The 17,761-nt window shown below is 39.0% G+C and overlaps 1 protein-coding gene across 1 annotated transcript in view, besides 1 other annotated feature; it reads right to left on the bottom strand.

Moving 5' to 3' along the window:
* The window catches only part of RARB (retinoic acid receptor beta), a 768,612-nt gene that overhangs the window by 337,035 nt on the left and 413,816 nt on the right, over positions 1-17,761 (bottom strand). The gene's annotated exons all lie outside the window — the stretch shown is intronic.
* Positions 13,441-14,020: an enhancer, noted in NCBI's record as "H3K27ac hESC enhancer chr3:25288369-25288948 (GRCh37/hg19 assembly coordinates)". NCBI's record gives its function as "activates a minimal SCP1, AML or CMV promoter by ChIP-STARR-seq in primed H9 embryonic stem cells {active_cell/tissue: H9 hESC(primed)}" and the evidence as "EXISTENCE:reporter gene assay evidence [ECO:0000049][PMID:30033119]".

Below are 17,761 nucleotides of genomic sequence, written 5' to 3'. Positions count from 1 at the left end.
TTTTATTTAATTTTCTCCATACGTGAGCCAATGAGTACGTTCTGCCACCATACTAATTAAACAGATAAAACAAGAATCAGCAAAGTTAATCAACTTGCCTAAGGTCACCCAGCCCCAGTGACAGGCTGAATGGGTGACATCAGGCTGAATTAAGTGGTATGAATATTGAGATTAGCAAAGTTAATCTTCAACTGAACACAGGCGGCTGCAGATGACATCTCTCATCTGAGCACTAGAGGAAAAGAGATGGGACCCCTTTTCCTCTAGTGGGCAGGTAAGATGAAGAGCTGGGTTGGGGTTGGGTTGCAGTTTATAAGACTTGGCTCAATTCTGATTTGTTTCTACTCCTTGGATATGGCTTCTCGGATTTTTGATTAAGAACTCAGTGGGTCCCTGTCTTGTGTGAGATTTTCTTCTGCCCTTTGGAGGTTTGTTAATGTCTTCTCTCACTAATAAGGAGTATGAACAAATCCCAACTAATTAAACTCTTCAGTTGCTTGGTTTTTGTATGCATGGTAGGCTAACACAATCTGGGACAGTTCTCTTTTAGGAATTCTTTATTGGCTTAAAACAGAACATGGAGGTTCCAAAACCACATATATATGTATTTCTTATTCTATACAAAATACTGCAGCTTTCTTGTCTATGAACAAAGCCTTGCAAAACCCTGGTGTTCTTGCACTCACTGTCTTCCAACCAGGCTTAAAGGAATACAACCAGGGTGCCCTATTCCAGGGAACACTGCCCACCGGGTATCAGAGGCTGATCTCAGAACAGAGTCAGTACAAACAACAAACAAAGCTGAAACTCATCTGGGCCTTGTGCCCAAGAAAACCAGCCACACACGAACTCACACCATGGGGGAAGGAGAAAGGGGAAAAACGTTTCAAAAACAAACTGAGGAGAGTAAAAGGCTGGCTGAGAAGTTGGCTCCACACTGACTGCCCCCCTCCCCTCCATGAATGCCAAAGAGACAAAGCCTGAGAAAGAAAACCTTCCCTAATCTTGTCCAGGAAAGAAGCTCAAATCTCTTGACTTATTTGGGAAGCAATGACAGATACCAAGAGCTCTGACTTTACTGAGGAAGAAGATGACTTTGGGTCATGCATAAAATAAAATGGGTTTTGCTGAAGAAAAACTCAGAAATGCTTTAACATTTTCAATATTATTTATATGTAGAAATTTGCCTAACTGATGCATTTATTTAAAAATGTATGAATTAGTTATACTCATACTAGCTGCTGTAACGGATAAACCCGAAACTTCATTAGCTTCACACAATGGAAGTTTACTTTTTGCTCATGTGAAGTCCAGTCAGTAGATGGGAGGAAGAACTGCAATGCTCTGCTGTAGGCAGTCATTCAGGGACCTAGGCTAAAGGTAGGTTCCTAGGTTACCTTGGACATTGACATCCAGCTAGTATAAAGGGAAGAGAGAATGGAGAATTATACAGAAGATTTTTATTCACCAGGTCAACAAGTGATACATGAGACCCAATAAATATTTTTCTTACATTTTTTACATTTACAAAAGTACATAAATACTTTTGCCTACATATCATTGGCCAGATAGAACTCAGACACATGGCTACATCCAAATATGAAGAATGCTGGGAGATCCAGTCTCTGTCTGAGCAGCCACTTCACAGCAAAAACTCCCTATTATGGAAAGGGAATGCTAATCATTGGTGGAAACGAGATGTCTCTTCCACAGTGGATTTGCTCTACTTTACCATATCTATTTACTATATTATTAAATAGTGTTTCTTGAGAGGTGTGTTATTGTCATTTTGAATGAGACAGTTCTTTGGTTGCTGTACTGTTTCTCATACTGAAGTATGTTCACATTCCTGGTTCCTGCCTACTAATATCAGAAGCAGTCTCAGACACCATATACTATGGTTTGTCCCCAGCAAAACTCAGGCTGAGGTTTGGTCCCCAGTGTGGTGGTGTTGAAAGTTAGTGCCTTTGAGAGGAATTTGGGTCCTTAAGAGAGGTTTATGCCTTTCTCTTGAGAATACATTCAGGGACCTCTATTAAGACTGAATTAATTATTGCAAGAGAGAGTTGTGTTAAAGTGAGGCTGCCGCTCCTGTTTGGTGTCTTTTGCAGGTGCCTGCTGCTTAACCTTCTGCTTCTCCTGTGTTATGAGGTAGCATAAAGCCCTCTCCAGAAGCCAGGAGATGCAGCTGCTCATCTTAGACTTCCCAGCCTCCAGAACCATGAACTAAATCAACCTCTTTCCTTTATAAATTATTCAGTCTTAAGTATTTTATTACAGCAACAGAAAACAGACCAAGACACCATGACAACCAAAACCACTATACATTCCAAATGCCCACTTCAGGGTTGGTACTCCCCTGGGCTGAGGACCACAAACAGTCAGAATTTCAAGGTGTTGACTAATTCTTTACCCTTGCTAGATCATGTTATCAGAATCATTTCATCAAGCAAACCTCCCAGCAGCTTCTATTCTGATTAACATTTCCCTGAGGAATCCTGCATTCTGCCTACTTTACAATATCAATTGCGACCATAAAACAACATACAACTATCACAGAAGAGTGCTGACCATTCAAAATCATCACTTTGGGGTGATTAGCTACTTGTGTAATAAGTTTACCATTCCTTTAAATGTTTTTGGAGCTCCCCATATGGAAATCATCTTTAGAGGTAGTGCCACATAGAAACATGGAATTACTGAGTTCAAGGGAACCTCAGAGGTTCCTCAGTCCTAAGTTCAATCTGATGCCCCAATCCTTTCTACCATGCCTCTGCCAGCTATTCGTCAACCTTTATTCATGTATTCTGTGGCACTGCCTTAAAGCTGAGGACAACACAATGATGAAGTCAGGATTCCTAACTTCATTATAAGGGAGATGTACACAAATGGATCATTACAACGTAAGTCAGTAAATGCCATTGCTATGGCAGGAAGAGAGTGCTGTGGAAATACAAATGATGAAGGGGCTCAACTAACTTCATGAGTAGACACATGATTTGTGCTTTGATGAGAAAGGTTGAGTTTTTCAGGCTGAGAATGTCGGATGGTATTTGGGGTGTTTTAAAGGACTAGGTAACAAAGAGGGCTTAGAAGGTTTGGGAAGAAATAAGGAGCCTGGAAGAGATAGAAGGGGAATAAAATAGATGAAGAGAAGTTGAGTGGAAAAGGGAGGTCTTGGAAGACTCTGTAAATAGAGAGCAGATAGAGCCTAGGAAGGAGCGGAGGCATCAGGTAGACCGCAGGACTTGGACGAACTTGGACACAGGGCTTTCCATTTAAACATCATTAACAAGACAGATCTCCTGATGAAACTGACTCCATATCTGGACTATTTTAGATGTTATATCTCATTATTCATCCAAAACCTGCCCCACCCTAGTTCCAACTCTTCTGTCCTGGTTTTCTTCTCCTAGACACAGAGATCAATCATAATCACTTTTCCAGAGATCAGCCCTTCCAGAATCTGAAGACAATTATTACATCTCTATGAGTATCTCCTCTTCTCTAGGCTAAATGCCCTGTTCATACGTGTTTTTCTGCAAGGCTGTTTGCAATTCCCTTTTCATTCTACTCTCACTCCTCTGTGCTGGACACAGTCCAGTTGGCCAACATGCCCCTTAAGATGTGGTACCCGGAATGGAGCACACTCCTCCAAGTGTGGTTCATCAGCACAATCTTTGATCTGCATTCAAGCATCAAATTAAGTCACCAAGCAGACATACCACATTACTGAGTCATGCTGAACTTACTGTCAACCATCATATGTGTTGCTGGTAAGTTCATTCCCTATTTCATTCAGGGGCAGATGTTCTTTAAATGTGTGCATAACTCTACATTGATGAGCTTACATTTCCCTTGGTAAAATCTAACCCTTTTCTGAGGCTGTCAGGAGCTTTTAGGATAGTCCTTATCGTATGATATTTTGGGCAAGCATGTCAAGCACAAAGCTAATGTTCTCTTCCAAGTTCTTGATGATGTTCAATGAGAAGACGCTGAGACAGAACTCCATAAACTATCCTTCACGACCTCTAAAAAATATGCTGTGCCACCTCTTATCTTCACATTCTTGGATATTCTTATTTTTTTTTTCCATACTTTAACATCTTTCATCATTATACACGTTTGCCAAAGAACTCTATATGTAGCCAAATTGGTTTCTTGAGTTTCCTTTATCTTTTCTGCTCCACTGATTACGTAGAATTTCATTTATGACACCCTTCCATCCTTTATGACAAGACTGTCCTTTGAGTTTTGGTCATACATTTCTACTTATATTTGCTCAAATAAAAATTCTGAACTCATGGTTATACGTTTGATTATGGGCTACTTTGCAGCACAGGGTTTTGTTTTCATAAGAATTTTTAAAACAACATGGACATCCTTTAAAGGATCTCTCTCTTCAATCAATTTCTTCTTATTTATTTAACTACTTCTTAATGCTTATATATGTTTCCCTTATTGCTTCTCTTGCATTCTAGGACATTATGTCAACAAGAGTGAAAGAATAAAGGTAAATAGATTTTCTAGATTGAGGGAGCAATATGAGAAAAAGGAGATAAGTAAAGGTAACAGTGTGTTCTTCAGATTCTTCACATATGTATGTTTAATTCCTTTCTCTGATGGAGATTAAAATTTTCTTAATGGCAGGAAGGGGCCGTATCTTTTCAGTGGAATATTGGTTCATCTGCTTCTATAACAGTGCAATGACGAGTATACAATAGGTGTTGAATATTTTTGAACAACAGCAGCAGCAACACAGCTTGTTTAAATGGGCATATATTTTCATTCACCTGTTGAAGTAATTAAGGTATTGGAGATTTGTTCAATGTGTGACATCATTCCTACATAGAAATATTGTCAAACAGACATTTACATGATATGATACATTAAGAGATGGTTACAAATAATCATAGTTAAGAGGGAAAAGGTCACTTTTAAGAAATCTCACTGAAAAATCAGTAAACCTGTGGGAAATAAACATTATTAAAGCATTTCATATTAATAAATATAAATAAACAGACGTAAAGTAATTAACAAGTACATTCACAAGCATACACACTTGACTCAAGGGTATAAAAATGATCATTTTTTTAAAACTATTGTTTTCAAAAATTATACATTAAGGGAGAAGAGGTTCCAGTTGTCTTTGGACTTGAGCAACTCGACTAAAAGGTCCACAAAACTGTACTGCATAAACCACTCTAATATAACGCAAAGTCTCTCTACAATCAAAGACTAAAATTACAGTTTGTTTTTCACCTATATTATCAGTACTTTGAGACATCTACACGGCAAGTACTGACTCTTGTTCACCAAGATAAAGTATTAGCTTTTATTTTTTCACTTACAGTGTGCATAATGATTAAAGATTCTAGTTGCCAAGGGTGAAATGCTTCAAACTCGAAGCTCAATTGTTTTCTGAATTTGTAATTGTACCCTTTCTGAGGGATGGAGAAGGCAGAGGAGGAAATTCACAAAAGTGACACAAAGCAGATAATAACAGAGCCTCATGAATTCATAATGATGTTCAAGGTATGAGGGAAATTGTTTTCATCAAAAAGAACAAACTGTGATCACTTACCGCTAGTCACTGCTGGGGTGGCTGTGATCTAAGGACCCACTTTATGTTCCAAAAACAGATTAAATATCCAGGATCTGATCTCCAGAAAAAATTCATATTTGTGTTGATCTACTACTGTGTCTGTGAAGGTGGGGGAAGACTGCATGAGAGAACTAAGTAGACATTCATCTGATGCTCATGCCTAGTAAAGAAATGTGTGAGTGTTACCCTAAAGCCAAATCCAAATTTAAACTGGTCAGTAAGCCTGATGTTTGGCCAATATTGGGAGCAGCCCCTAGTTTAGACACAGAAAGGAATACAAGAATGCTAATATTTTTTGAGAATGTCGTAGGTGTCAGGTACTGTGCTGGATTATCCCTAAAAAGTCCAAACTGTCAGAGAAGGAAAAACCAGTTGGCTGCTAAGGTAGTGCCTCAATAATATTCTCAATCCAAACACAAGAACACCAAGCATGATAGCAACATGTAAGTTGTCCAAGGTAATGGCAGAGTCAAAGACAGTTTTATATCCGTCCAAATATCATCACACTGTCTTCTTCTTTATCCTATTTCATTTTCTTTTATCTCCCCCTTTGGACCCAGTTTTTTGTGATACAGTCTCTGACCGACCAAGTCATCCAGCACCCTCCCTCTCCTTCCTTCTCACTGCAACACCCACAAGGCCTTGCCTTGATTTTAAATATTTTAGGCATGATTTCAATAGCACCCCCCGACCCCCCAGCTGTAAGTGATACCGTTAAGGAAAACTGTCAGAGAAAGAAAAACCATTTGGCTGCTAAGGTAGTGTCCCAATAATGATATTGTTTCAGTGTGAGTTCCATTATTCTTGATGCATTTTTCAGCTATGTAAAAGCAAGAGTGGAATGCTATTAGTTCATTTAGAGATGATGAGGCTCTAGGTGACTAAAGTTCACTCAACTTTCAAGAAATCAATTAGTAATACAGAAACTCCAAGACTAAATTAAGAGGAAAAGCTACCTATGTAGAGAAGTAAATCTTTTTCAACTGTTTCTCAATAATGGGGACATGGAAAGTAAATAAAGACAGGAAATAATCTTGAAGTCCATAAGGAACACACAGCTCTCTTTCGGATAATAGGAAACACTGACAAATTTTTAATATTAAACTCCTTATTCCATGATGTATTACATGTCTCATGAAGTTATGTCAAGCAATTGAAAGGGTTGACATTTTATTTCAACTCTTCTCTTAGACAGATTGGTCTGTATTGGTTAAGTCCATTTATTATGGGTTGATTTTTCAATCTCAAAATATTACTTTTCCTAGATTTTGTAGCCAATTACTAGAAAGCACTGTATATGAACCCCTTATGCATGAACTACAATGATATCCTTTTATTCTTTTAGGACACAGTTCCCTACCGATATCCTAGCCCTTCTAACTAACATTTGTGTCTATTAGAGGTTCTCACAAGTTATCGTTTTAAGCTAAAGGTGCGGTTCCAGAAATACAAGCAATTTGAGGGACCACTAGGGCTCGATGGAAAAGAAAGGGGTCTTTTAGTACGCTTCAAATAATGTAACCTTTATAGCCTTATTGACAACTGATAACTCATATACAAATGAATAGATAAATCATCTCTTGTGGTGAGCTATAGCTTTTGACTATTATCCTGACCTGCTGTATTTATTCTAGAAATTAATTTTATTTTCTTCTTTCTTGAGTTGTTTATTCATCTGTCCATTTTCTCCCCTCTACTCTTCCTTTCTATTACCTTTGAAAATTCAGTATTATCTATACCCAGGCAATATATAAATTATGTCTGGGGACCCTCCTAGTGCATAAAGTGGTTTGCTGCTCTAGAAAACCTAGTATGTGGACATTAACTATTTCTTTGAATATTTTATAGATCCTTCAGGGTAATTGGGTGGGCAGACACACCATAGAGTCTCTATGTATTTCAAAATAAAGTTAAGTAAAGTAGATGGAATTTCCCAGAATAGTAAAATTTTCTTGTTGATGCTGGTTATGTAAAACTATTCTTTTAAGATAGGCAAAATACGGATGTACAACTCAGCCCTCCTTTCCTTCAGGTTTTGATAGAGAATAGAATAAAAAAACACATGTGTATCAAAGTGTCAGCTTTGTTAGCAATTACAAGTACCTATTTTCCACCCAAATCCAGAACTCTTTGGTAGTACTAGTAGTTGACAGGACTAGAAAGCAGATTAAAAATTAGGCAAATGGGATAATTAAACCTTCTATCATCTACCTCCCACATGTAATCAAGATTTGTGAATCCTAGTGCCTATGAAGACAGTTCAGCTTAACTTACATACTTAGTCACAGACACATAAATTGGTACAGAGAGGGAGAGAGTGCATATTACCCTCCCCTTCATAGAGACTCTGCTCAGTTGGGCTCAACAAATGGGACCTAGAAGCTGAAGAGAAGGGAAAGTAAAAGCCACGGTGCCAGATAAAAGAAGATCCATAAGTCATGACTCACACTTTGTGTGTTGGGCTTTCATCAATTAGACTGGATGCTACTGTTCTCCTGGAGAAGAGTTAAAAGGGGATATAGATAAATTTGAAGCAGTCCTTCCACAAAAAAATTTATTAGAAGTAATAAATATGTTCAGCAAGGTGGCAGAATACAAGATCAATATACAAAAGCCAATTGTAGTTCTATAAACTGGCAAAGAAATATCTGAAAATATAAGAAAATGAAACAATCCTGACTGTAATAGCAACCAAAACAATAAAATAGTTCGGAATAAGCTTAGCAAAAGAAGTGCAAGGCTTGTTCACTGAAAACTACAGAACATTACTGAAAGAAGTTAAAGAAGACCTAAATAAATGGAAAGATATACCATGTTCATGGACTGGAAGACAATATCATTACATGACAATATTTACCTAATTGATCTACAGATTCAATACAACCCCTATCAAAATCCTAGCTGGTTTTTTTACAGAAATTGACAAGCTGATCCTAAAATTTATATATAATTGCAAAGGTCCCCAAATAGCCAAAACAATCTTCAAAAAGAAGAACATAGCTGGGGGACACACACTTCTCAATTTCAAATTTACTATAAAGCTATAATAATCAAGACAGTGGGCTAAGAATAGACATATAGATCAAAGAAATAGATGTGTAGTCCAGAAGTAAGCACTTATACCTCTGTTCAAATGATTTTGACAAGGGTGGCAAGAAAATTTAATGGTAGTAAAGAATAATCTTTTTAACAAATGGTGCTGGGACAACTGTGTATTCACATGTAAAAGAGTAAGATTAGACCCCTATCTCACATCATATACAAAAATTAACTCAAAACCTATTCAGACTTAAATATAAGAGCTAAAACTAGAAAACTGTTAGAAAAAAACACAGGCATAAATTTCTGTGACTTTTGGTTAGGCAATGATTTCCTAAATATGGCACCAAAAACACAAGCAAAGACAAATTTGATAAATTGCACTTTTTCAAAATTGAAAACATTTGTACTTCAAATGACATCACCAAGAAAACAAAAAGACAACCCAAAAGATGAAAAGAAGTATTTGCGAATCATACGTCTGATAAAAGGTCTTCATTCAAGATGTATAAAAAATTCTTACAACTCAGCAACAAAAAGACAAATACCCCAATTAAAAAATGGGCTAAGTATTTGAATAGACTTTTCTCAAGAGAAGATATGCAAATAGCCAATAGGCACATGAAAACCTGTCCAACATCATTAGTCATTAGGAAAATGCCAACCAAAACCACAATAAAATGTCATTTCACACACACTAGGATGGATATAATTACAAAATGGACAACTTTTGGAGAGGATATGGAGAAATTAGAATGCTCACACACTGCTAACAAGAATGTAAAATTTATTACTTTGGAAAATAGTTTGAAAGGACCTTAAAAAGTTAAACATACAGCTACCATATGGCCCAACAATTCCACTCTTGGGTATATACCCAAGAAAATTGAAAACATATGTCCATGAAAAAACTTGTACACAAATATTTATAGCAGCATTATTCATAAAAGCCAAAAAGTAGAAACAATCCAAATGCCCATCTTGTAAAGAATGGATACATATAACATTCTATATCTATAAAATATAATATTATAATAAAATGAATGAAGTAGTAATGCATGCTACAATATGGATGACCTTGAATATATTGACATATGTTAAAGAAGCCAGTCAAGAATGCATATTCAAGGTGGCTGAATAGAGGAATGTGGTACTCACTCCTCCACAAAAAAGAACCTAAACAGCAAGCAGACAATGGAACACCTAACAGAGAACACTTTCAGTAGAGAAGTAACAGGAAACACCTAAGGCAATGAAAGGGAGAAAAGCAAGGTAACATGCTCTGCTGGGATCAACTGGAAGCCTGTAGAGGTTCCCAACTGTGGGAAAAGGGTAAGTGAACAACACCCAATTGCTACAGATTCCCACCACAGACTCCTGCAGTCTTAGCCACTGTGGAGTCTCTTAACCCTTGTGAGTCCTGAGACTAACACAGGGAGCTGCCTGAAGATCACATGACAGCATTGCTTGAGGAAGGGAATTCACACTGGATTCCATACAGCCGCCAAGTCCTAAGCAGCTATAGCAAGGTGCCACTTTGAGAGCCCAGCCCCTACCAGACTGCATCCTACCCTGGGGTCCAACAGCCTCTTCATCTCCACATTTCTGAAGCCCAATTGACATCCCTTGCCCACAGCCAGGTGCCACTTCTGGCTGCTGCCACCAGGCGTGAATCATGAGCCACTGTCAGTGACCCCACAATCCCCAGTAGTGGGGACACCACACATCTACAAGTGCCATGAGATGCTATCCTGCCCGAAGCCACCAACTGAGACCAATGTGTTCATTCCCCAGCTGCCTGTTTATGGTTGCTGCCACTGAAAACAACTTTGCCCTCCTCAGTAGTAGGACTGCAGCACAACCACTGCTGCCCCCACCCAAGCATTCATCTGGGGTCCTGGGAATTACCCTATCCCTGTCTACCCTAGCCAGTGCCTGCACACATCACATGGAGCCTGAGGATAGACCCACACAGGCTGGCCCTGCATCATCCATGCACAAGCATGCCTGGGGATCACCCTGCCCCATCCACCATTGTTGGCATCCCTCACAGGGGCCTGAGAACAAGCCCATCCAACCTGCTGTTACTACTACAGCTGGCACCACCTGTACATGCCACCTGCAGGCCTGAGTACTGATCTGTTCATCCTGTCACAGCCACCACCAGCACCAGTGTGGACTCCCTGGGAGTCAGAGGGTTGTCCTACCACTGCTACTGCCATTAATCAAGCAATTTCTGATGCCCAGGGGCCTGAAGATCTTCCCACCCACCGAGCCCACCACTGTTACTATCAGCACCAGAGAAAGCCACCTGGTGACCCAATAATTGGCCCAACAGGACCTGGCAATAGTGCTGCAAGCATATGCCGCCCTGGGGCCCCAAAACAGGAACACACAGCCTGCTGCTGCTACCACTGGGGCCCCAGGACTGACTTACCTGACTTACCTGACATCCCCATCCCTGAAAAACTTCATCACAGCCTCCACTAACAACCATACCCTATGTAACTAAGAAAGGAAATCACAGACACTACTGATGTTGTTTACAGCCAAAAAAAAAAAAAAAAAAAAATCATACAGAGACTACACTACTGCATACCCAGAATCAAAGCTGAAGTGACCTACCCAACCAACATCATGGATACCTCTTCAGGAAAACCTCCTCTACAAAAGCAAATTAAAAAAAATTGAAAGAAGCAACTATTATATCAGAGGTACAGATATCAATGTAAGGACACAAGAAACAAAAAAAGCAGGGATATATGAAACCTCCAAAGGATCACAACAATTTTCCAGCAACAGATTTCAATGCAAAATAAATTTATGACATTCTGGAAAACGAATTCAAATTAATGATATTAAAAAGTTCAGTGGGATATAAGAGAACACAAATGAACAATACAAAGAAATCAGAAAAATAATCAAGGATATAAGTAAGAAATTTATTAAGAGACAGATATCATAATAAAGAACCAAACAAATTCTGAAACCAAAGATTCACCAAATGCCATACAAAATACATTCAAAAGCTTTAATAACAGACTAGATCAAGGAGAAAAAAGAATTTCGGAACTTGAAGACAGGTTGTCTGAAATAAACCAGATAAAAATTTTAAAAAAGAATAAAAAAGAATGAAGAATGCCCACATAATGTATAGGATGCCATAAAGTGACCAAATATTTGAATTTCCAGTGTCCCATCAGGCAAAGAGAAAATGAAAGACACAGAAAACCTATTTAACAAAATAATAGCTGAAAACTTCCTAAGTCTAGCAAGAAATTTAGATATTAAGATACAGAAAGCTCAAAGACTTTCAAAAAGATATAATTAAAAAACTCTTATTCATGGCAGAGTGTAGCCCAACTGTCAAAAGTGAAAGACAAAGAGAATTCAAACAACAGCAAGATAAAGAATCTAATGACTTATAAGGGAACCCCAACCAGACTAACAGTAGACATATAAGCAGTAGACATCTTACAAGCCAGGAGATAACAGAATGATACATTTTAAATACTGAAAGAAAAAATTGCCAGCCAAGGATCCAGCAAAATTATCCTTTATAAAAGGAGGACAAATAAAGTATTTCTCAAACAAGCAAAAGCTGAAGGAATTCATCACCACTAGTATTGTCCTGTAAAAAATGCTTTAAGGGAGTCCTACACCTGGAAACAAAAAGATACTATCTACCATCATGAAAACTCACAAAAGTATAAAAAACACTGGTAGAGCAAACACACCATAAGGAAAGGAAAGGGTCCAATGGTTACAACTACAGAAAACAAAACACAATGATAAACAGGAGAGAAAGAAACAAAGAATATTCAAAATAACAATAGCTCAATTAATAAAATAATAGGAGTAAGCCCTCCCATATCAATAATAATCTTGAATGTAAACAGATTAAACTTTTCACTTAAAGGATAGAGTGGCTAAATGAATTTTAAAAACATGATCCACCTATATGCTGCTTACAAGAAACTCACCTCACCTTAAAGACATATAGATTGAAAGTAAAGGGATGAAAAAAGATATTGGATGAATATGAAAACCACAAATGAGCAGGAGTAGCTATACTTCATAAAACAGACATTAAAATCAAAAACAGTTCAAAGAGACACAAAAAGTCATTATATCATGATAAAAGGATCAGTCCAGCAAGAGGAAATAAAAATCCTGAACCATATATTCATCCGACACCAGAGCATCCAGATACATAAAACAAATATTAGATTTAAAGGAAGAGGAATTCCAATACAATAATAGTTGGGGACTTCAACACTCCACTCTCAGCATTAAGCAGATCATCTAGACAGAAAACTAACAAAGAAATACTAGATTTAAACTGCACTTTAGACTAATGGATCTAACATTAATTTACAGAACATTTCACCCAACAGCTACAGTATACACATTCCCTCTAATCAGTACTTGGAACATTCTTCAGAATAGATATGTTAAGACATAAAATGATTCCCGGGCAAGATGGCCAAATAGGAACAGCTCCCATCTGCAGCTCCCAGCCAGGCCAACGCAGAAGGCGGGTGATTTCTGCATTTCCAACTGAGGTACCTGGTTCATGTCATTGGGATTGGTTAGACAGTGGGTGCAGCCCATGGAGGATGAGCAGAAGCAGGGTGGGGCATTGCCTCACTTGGGAAGTTCAAGGGGTGAGGGAACTCCCTCCCCTCGACAAGGGAATCTGTGAGGGACCACGCCATGAGGGATGGAGCTATTTGGCCCAGATACTAGGCTTTTCCCAGGGTCTTCACAACCCACAGACCAGGAGATTCCCTTGTGTGCCTACACCACATGGGCCCCGAGTTTCAAGCACTAAACTGGGTGGCCGTTTGGACAGACACCGAACCAGATGCCAGAGTTTTTGTTTGTATCCCAGTGGCACCTGGAACACCAGCAAGACAGAACAGTTCATTCCCCTGGAAAAGGGGCTGAAGACAGTGATACTAGTGGTCATGCTCAGTGGATCCCAGTCCCACAGAGCCCAGCAAGCTAAGACCCACTGGCTTGAATATCTTGCTGCTAGCACAGAACTCTAAAATCGACCTGGGATGCTCAAGCTTGGTGGGGGAAGGGCATCTGCCATTACTGAGGCATGAGTAGGCGATTTTCCCCTCGCAGTGTAAATGAAGCTCCCAGCTAGTTCTGACTGGGCGGAGCCCACTGCAGCTCCACAAAGCTGCTGTAGCCAGACCGCCTGTCTAGATTCCTCCTCTCTGGGCAGGGCATCTCTGAAAGAAAGGCAGCAGCCCTAGTCAGGGGCTTATAGATGAAACTCCCCTCTCCCTGGGACAGAGCACCTGAGGGAAGGGGCAGCTGTGGGTGCAGCTCCAGCAGACTTAAACGTTTCTGCTTGCTGGCTGTAAAGAGAGCAGTGGATCTCCCAGCACAGGGCTTGAGCTCTGCTAAGGGACAGACTGCGTCCTCAAGTGGGTCTCCAAACCCTGTGCCTCCTGATGGGGAGACACTTCCCAGCAGGGTTCAACAGACACCTCTTAGAAGAGAGCTCTAGTGGGCATCTGGCAGGCACCCCTTTGGGACCAAACTTCCAGAGGGAGGAGCACACAGCAATATTTGCTCTTCTGCAGCCTCCACTGGTGATACCCAGGCAAACAGGATCTGGAGTGGAACCCCAGCAAACTCCAGCAGACCTGCAGAAAAGGGGCCTGACTGATAGAAGGAAAACTAACAAACAGAAAGGAATAGCAACAATATCAACAAAAAGGACAACCATGCAAAAACTCCATCCGAAGATCAAGAGCAAAGACCAAAGGTAGGTAAATCCAAGAAGGTGAGGAAAAACAAGCACAAAAAGGCGGAAAATTCCAAAAACCAGAATACCTCTTCTCCTCCAAAGGATCACAACTCCTCGCCAGCAAGGGAATAAAACTGGATGGAGAATGAGTTTGACAAATTGACAGAATTAGGCTTCAGAAGATGGGTAATAACAAACTCCTCCGTGCTAAAGGAGCATGTTCTAATCCAATGCAAGGAAGCTAAGAACCTTGAAAAAATGTTAGAAGTACTGCTAACTGGAATAACTAGTTTAGAGAAGAACATACATGACCTGATGGAGCTGAAAAACACAGCACAAGAACTTTGTGAAGCATACACAACTATCAATAGCCAAATCGATCAAGCATAAGACAGGATATCAGAGATTGAAGATCAACTTAAAGAAATAAAGCATGAAGACAAGATTAGAGAAAAAAGAATGGAAAGGGATGAACAAAGCCTCCAAGAAATATAGGACTTTGTGAAAAGACCAAACCCACGTTTGATTGGTATAACTGAAAGTGATGAGGAAAATGGAATTAAGTTGGAAAACACACTTCAGGATATTATCCAGGAGAACTTCCCTGACCCAGCAAGACAGGCCAACATTCAAATTCAGGAAATACAGAGAACACCATAAAGATACTCCTCAAGAGTATCTCCTCGAGAAGAGCAACCCCAAGACACATCATCGTCAGATTCACCAAGATTGAAATGAAGGAAAAAAATGTTAAGGGCAGTCAGAGAGAAAGGTCAGGTTACCCACAAAGGGAAGCCTATCAGACTAACAGCAGATCTCTCTTCAGAAACCCTACAAGCAAGAAGAGAGTGGGGGCCAATATTCAACATTCTTAAATAAAAAAATTTTCAATCCAGAATTTCATATCCAGCCAAACTAAGCTTCATAAGTGAAGAAGAACTAAATCCTTTACAGACAAGCAAATGCTGAAGGATTTTGTCACCACCAGGCCTGCCTTACAAGAGCTCCTTAAGGAAACACTAAATGTGGAAAGGAAAAACCGGTACCAGCCACTGCAAAAATAAACCAAAATGTAAAGGCCATCAACACTATGAAGATAGTGCATCAACTAATGGGCAAAATAACCAGATAGCATCATAATGACAGGATCAGTCTCACACAAAACAATATAAACCTTAAATGTAAACAGGCTAAATGCCCCAATTAAAAGGCACAAATTGGCAAATTGGATAAAGATCAAAACCCATCTGTGTGGTGTATTCAGGAGACCCATCTCACACTTAAAGATACTCATAGACTCAAAATAAAGGGATGGAGGAAGATTTACCAAGCAAATGGAAAGCAAAAAAAACAGGAGTTGCAATCTTAGTCTCTCTTAAAATAGACTTTAAACCAACAAAGATCAAAAGAGACAAAGAAAGGCATTACACAATGCTAAAGGAATCAATGCAACAAGAAGAGCTAACTATTCTAAATATATATGCACCCAATACGGGAGCACCCAGATTCATAAAGCAAGTTCTTAGAGATCTACAAAGAGACTTTGACTCCCACACAATAACAGTGGGAGACTTTAACACCACACTGTCAATATTAGATTGAGACAGAAAATTAACAAGGATATTTGGGACTTGAACTCAGCTCTGGACCAAGAAGACCTAATAGACATCAACAGAACTCTCCACCCCAAATCAACACAATATACATGCTTCTCAGCACTACATAGCACTTATACTAAAATCGACCACATAATTGGAAGTAAAACATGCCTCAGCAAATGCAAAAGAAGAGAAATCATAACAAACACTCTCTCAGACCACAGTGTAATCAAATTAGAACTCAGGATTAAGAAACTCACTCAAAATCTCACAACCACATGAAAACTGAACAACCTGCTCCTGAGTGACTACTGGGTAAACAACAAAATGAAGGCAGAAATAAATAAGTTCTTTGAAACCAATGAGAACAAAGACACAATGTACAAGAATCTCTTAGACACAGCTAAAGCAGTGTTTAGAGGGAAATTTGTAACACTAAATACCCACAGGAGAAGGCGGGAAAGATCTAAAATTGACACCCTAACATCACAATTAAAAGAACTAGGGAAGCAAGAGTTAACACATTTAAAAGCTAGCAGAAGACAAGAAACAACTAAGATCAGAGCAGAATTGAAGGAGATAAAGACACAAACTCTTCAAAAAAAAAAAAAAATCAATGAATTCAGGAGCTGGTTTATTGGAAAGATTAAAAAAATAGACTGCTAGCCAGACTAATAAAGAAGAAAAGGAGAAGAATCGAATAGACACAATAAAAAATGATAAAGGGGATATCACCACTGATCCCACAGAAACACAAACTACTATCAGAGAATACTAGAAACACTTTTACATAAATAAACTAGAAAATCTAGAAGAAATGGATAGATTCCTGGACACATACACCTTTCCAAGACTAAACCAGGAAGAAGTCAAATACCTGAACAGACTAATAACAAGTTCTGAAATTGAGGCAGTAATTAATAGCCTATCAATTAAAAAGAGCCCAGGAACAGATGGATTCACAGCTGAATTCTACCAGAGGTACAAAGAGGAGCTGGTACCATTCCTTTTAAAACTATTTCAAACAATAGAAAAAGAAAGACTCCTCCCTGACTCATTTTATGAGGCCAGCATCATCCTGATACCAAAACCTGAAAGAGACACAACAGAAAAACAAAATTTCAGGCCAATATCCCTGATGAACATCGAAGGGAAAAATCCTCAATAAAATACTGGCAAACCGATTCTAGAAGCACATTAAAAAGCTTATCCACCACGACCAAGTCAGCTTCATCCATGGGATGCAAGGCTGTTTCAACATACACAAATCAGTAAATGTAATCCATCATATAAACAGAACCAATGACAAAACTCACATGATTATCTCAACAGATGCAGAAAAGGTCTTTGATAAAATTCAACACCCCTTCAGGCTAAAAACACTCAATAAACTAGGTATTAATGAAACATACCTCAAAATAATAAGAGCTATTGATGACAAACCCACAGCCAATATCACACTGAATGGGCATAAGCTGGAACCATTCCCTTTGAAAACCAGCACAAGACAAGGATGTCCTCTCTCACCACTCCTATTCAACACAGTATTGAAAGTTCTGGTCAGGGCAATCAGGCAAGAGGAAGAAATAAAGGGTATTCAAACAGGAAGAGAGGAAGTCAAATTATCTCTGTTTTCAGATGACATGATTGTATATTTAGAAAACCCCATGATCTCAGCCCAAGAACTCCTTAAGCTGATAAGTAACTTCAGCAAAGTCTCAGGATAAAAAATCGATCTGCAAAAATCAC

This window comes from Homo sapiens, chromosome 3 (genome assembly GCF_000001405.40).
Source record: "Homo sapiens chromosome 3, GRCh38.p14 Primary Assembly".
NCBI classification, from domain to species: domain Eukaryota; kingdom Metazoa; phylum Chordata; class Mammalia; order Primates; family Hominidae; genus Homo; species Homo sapiens.
This window is presented reverse-complemented; position numbering and strand designations above follow the sequence as displayed.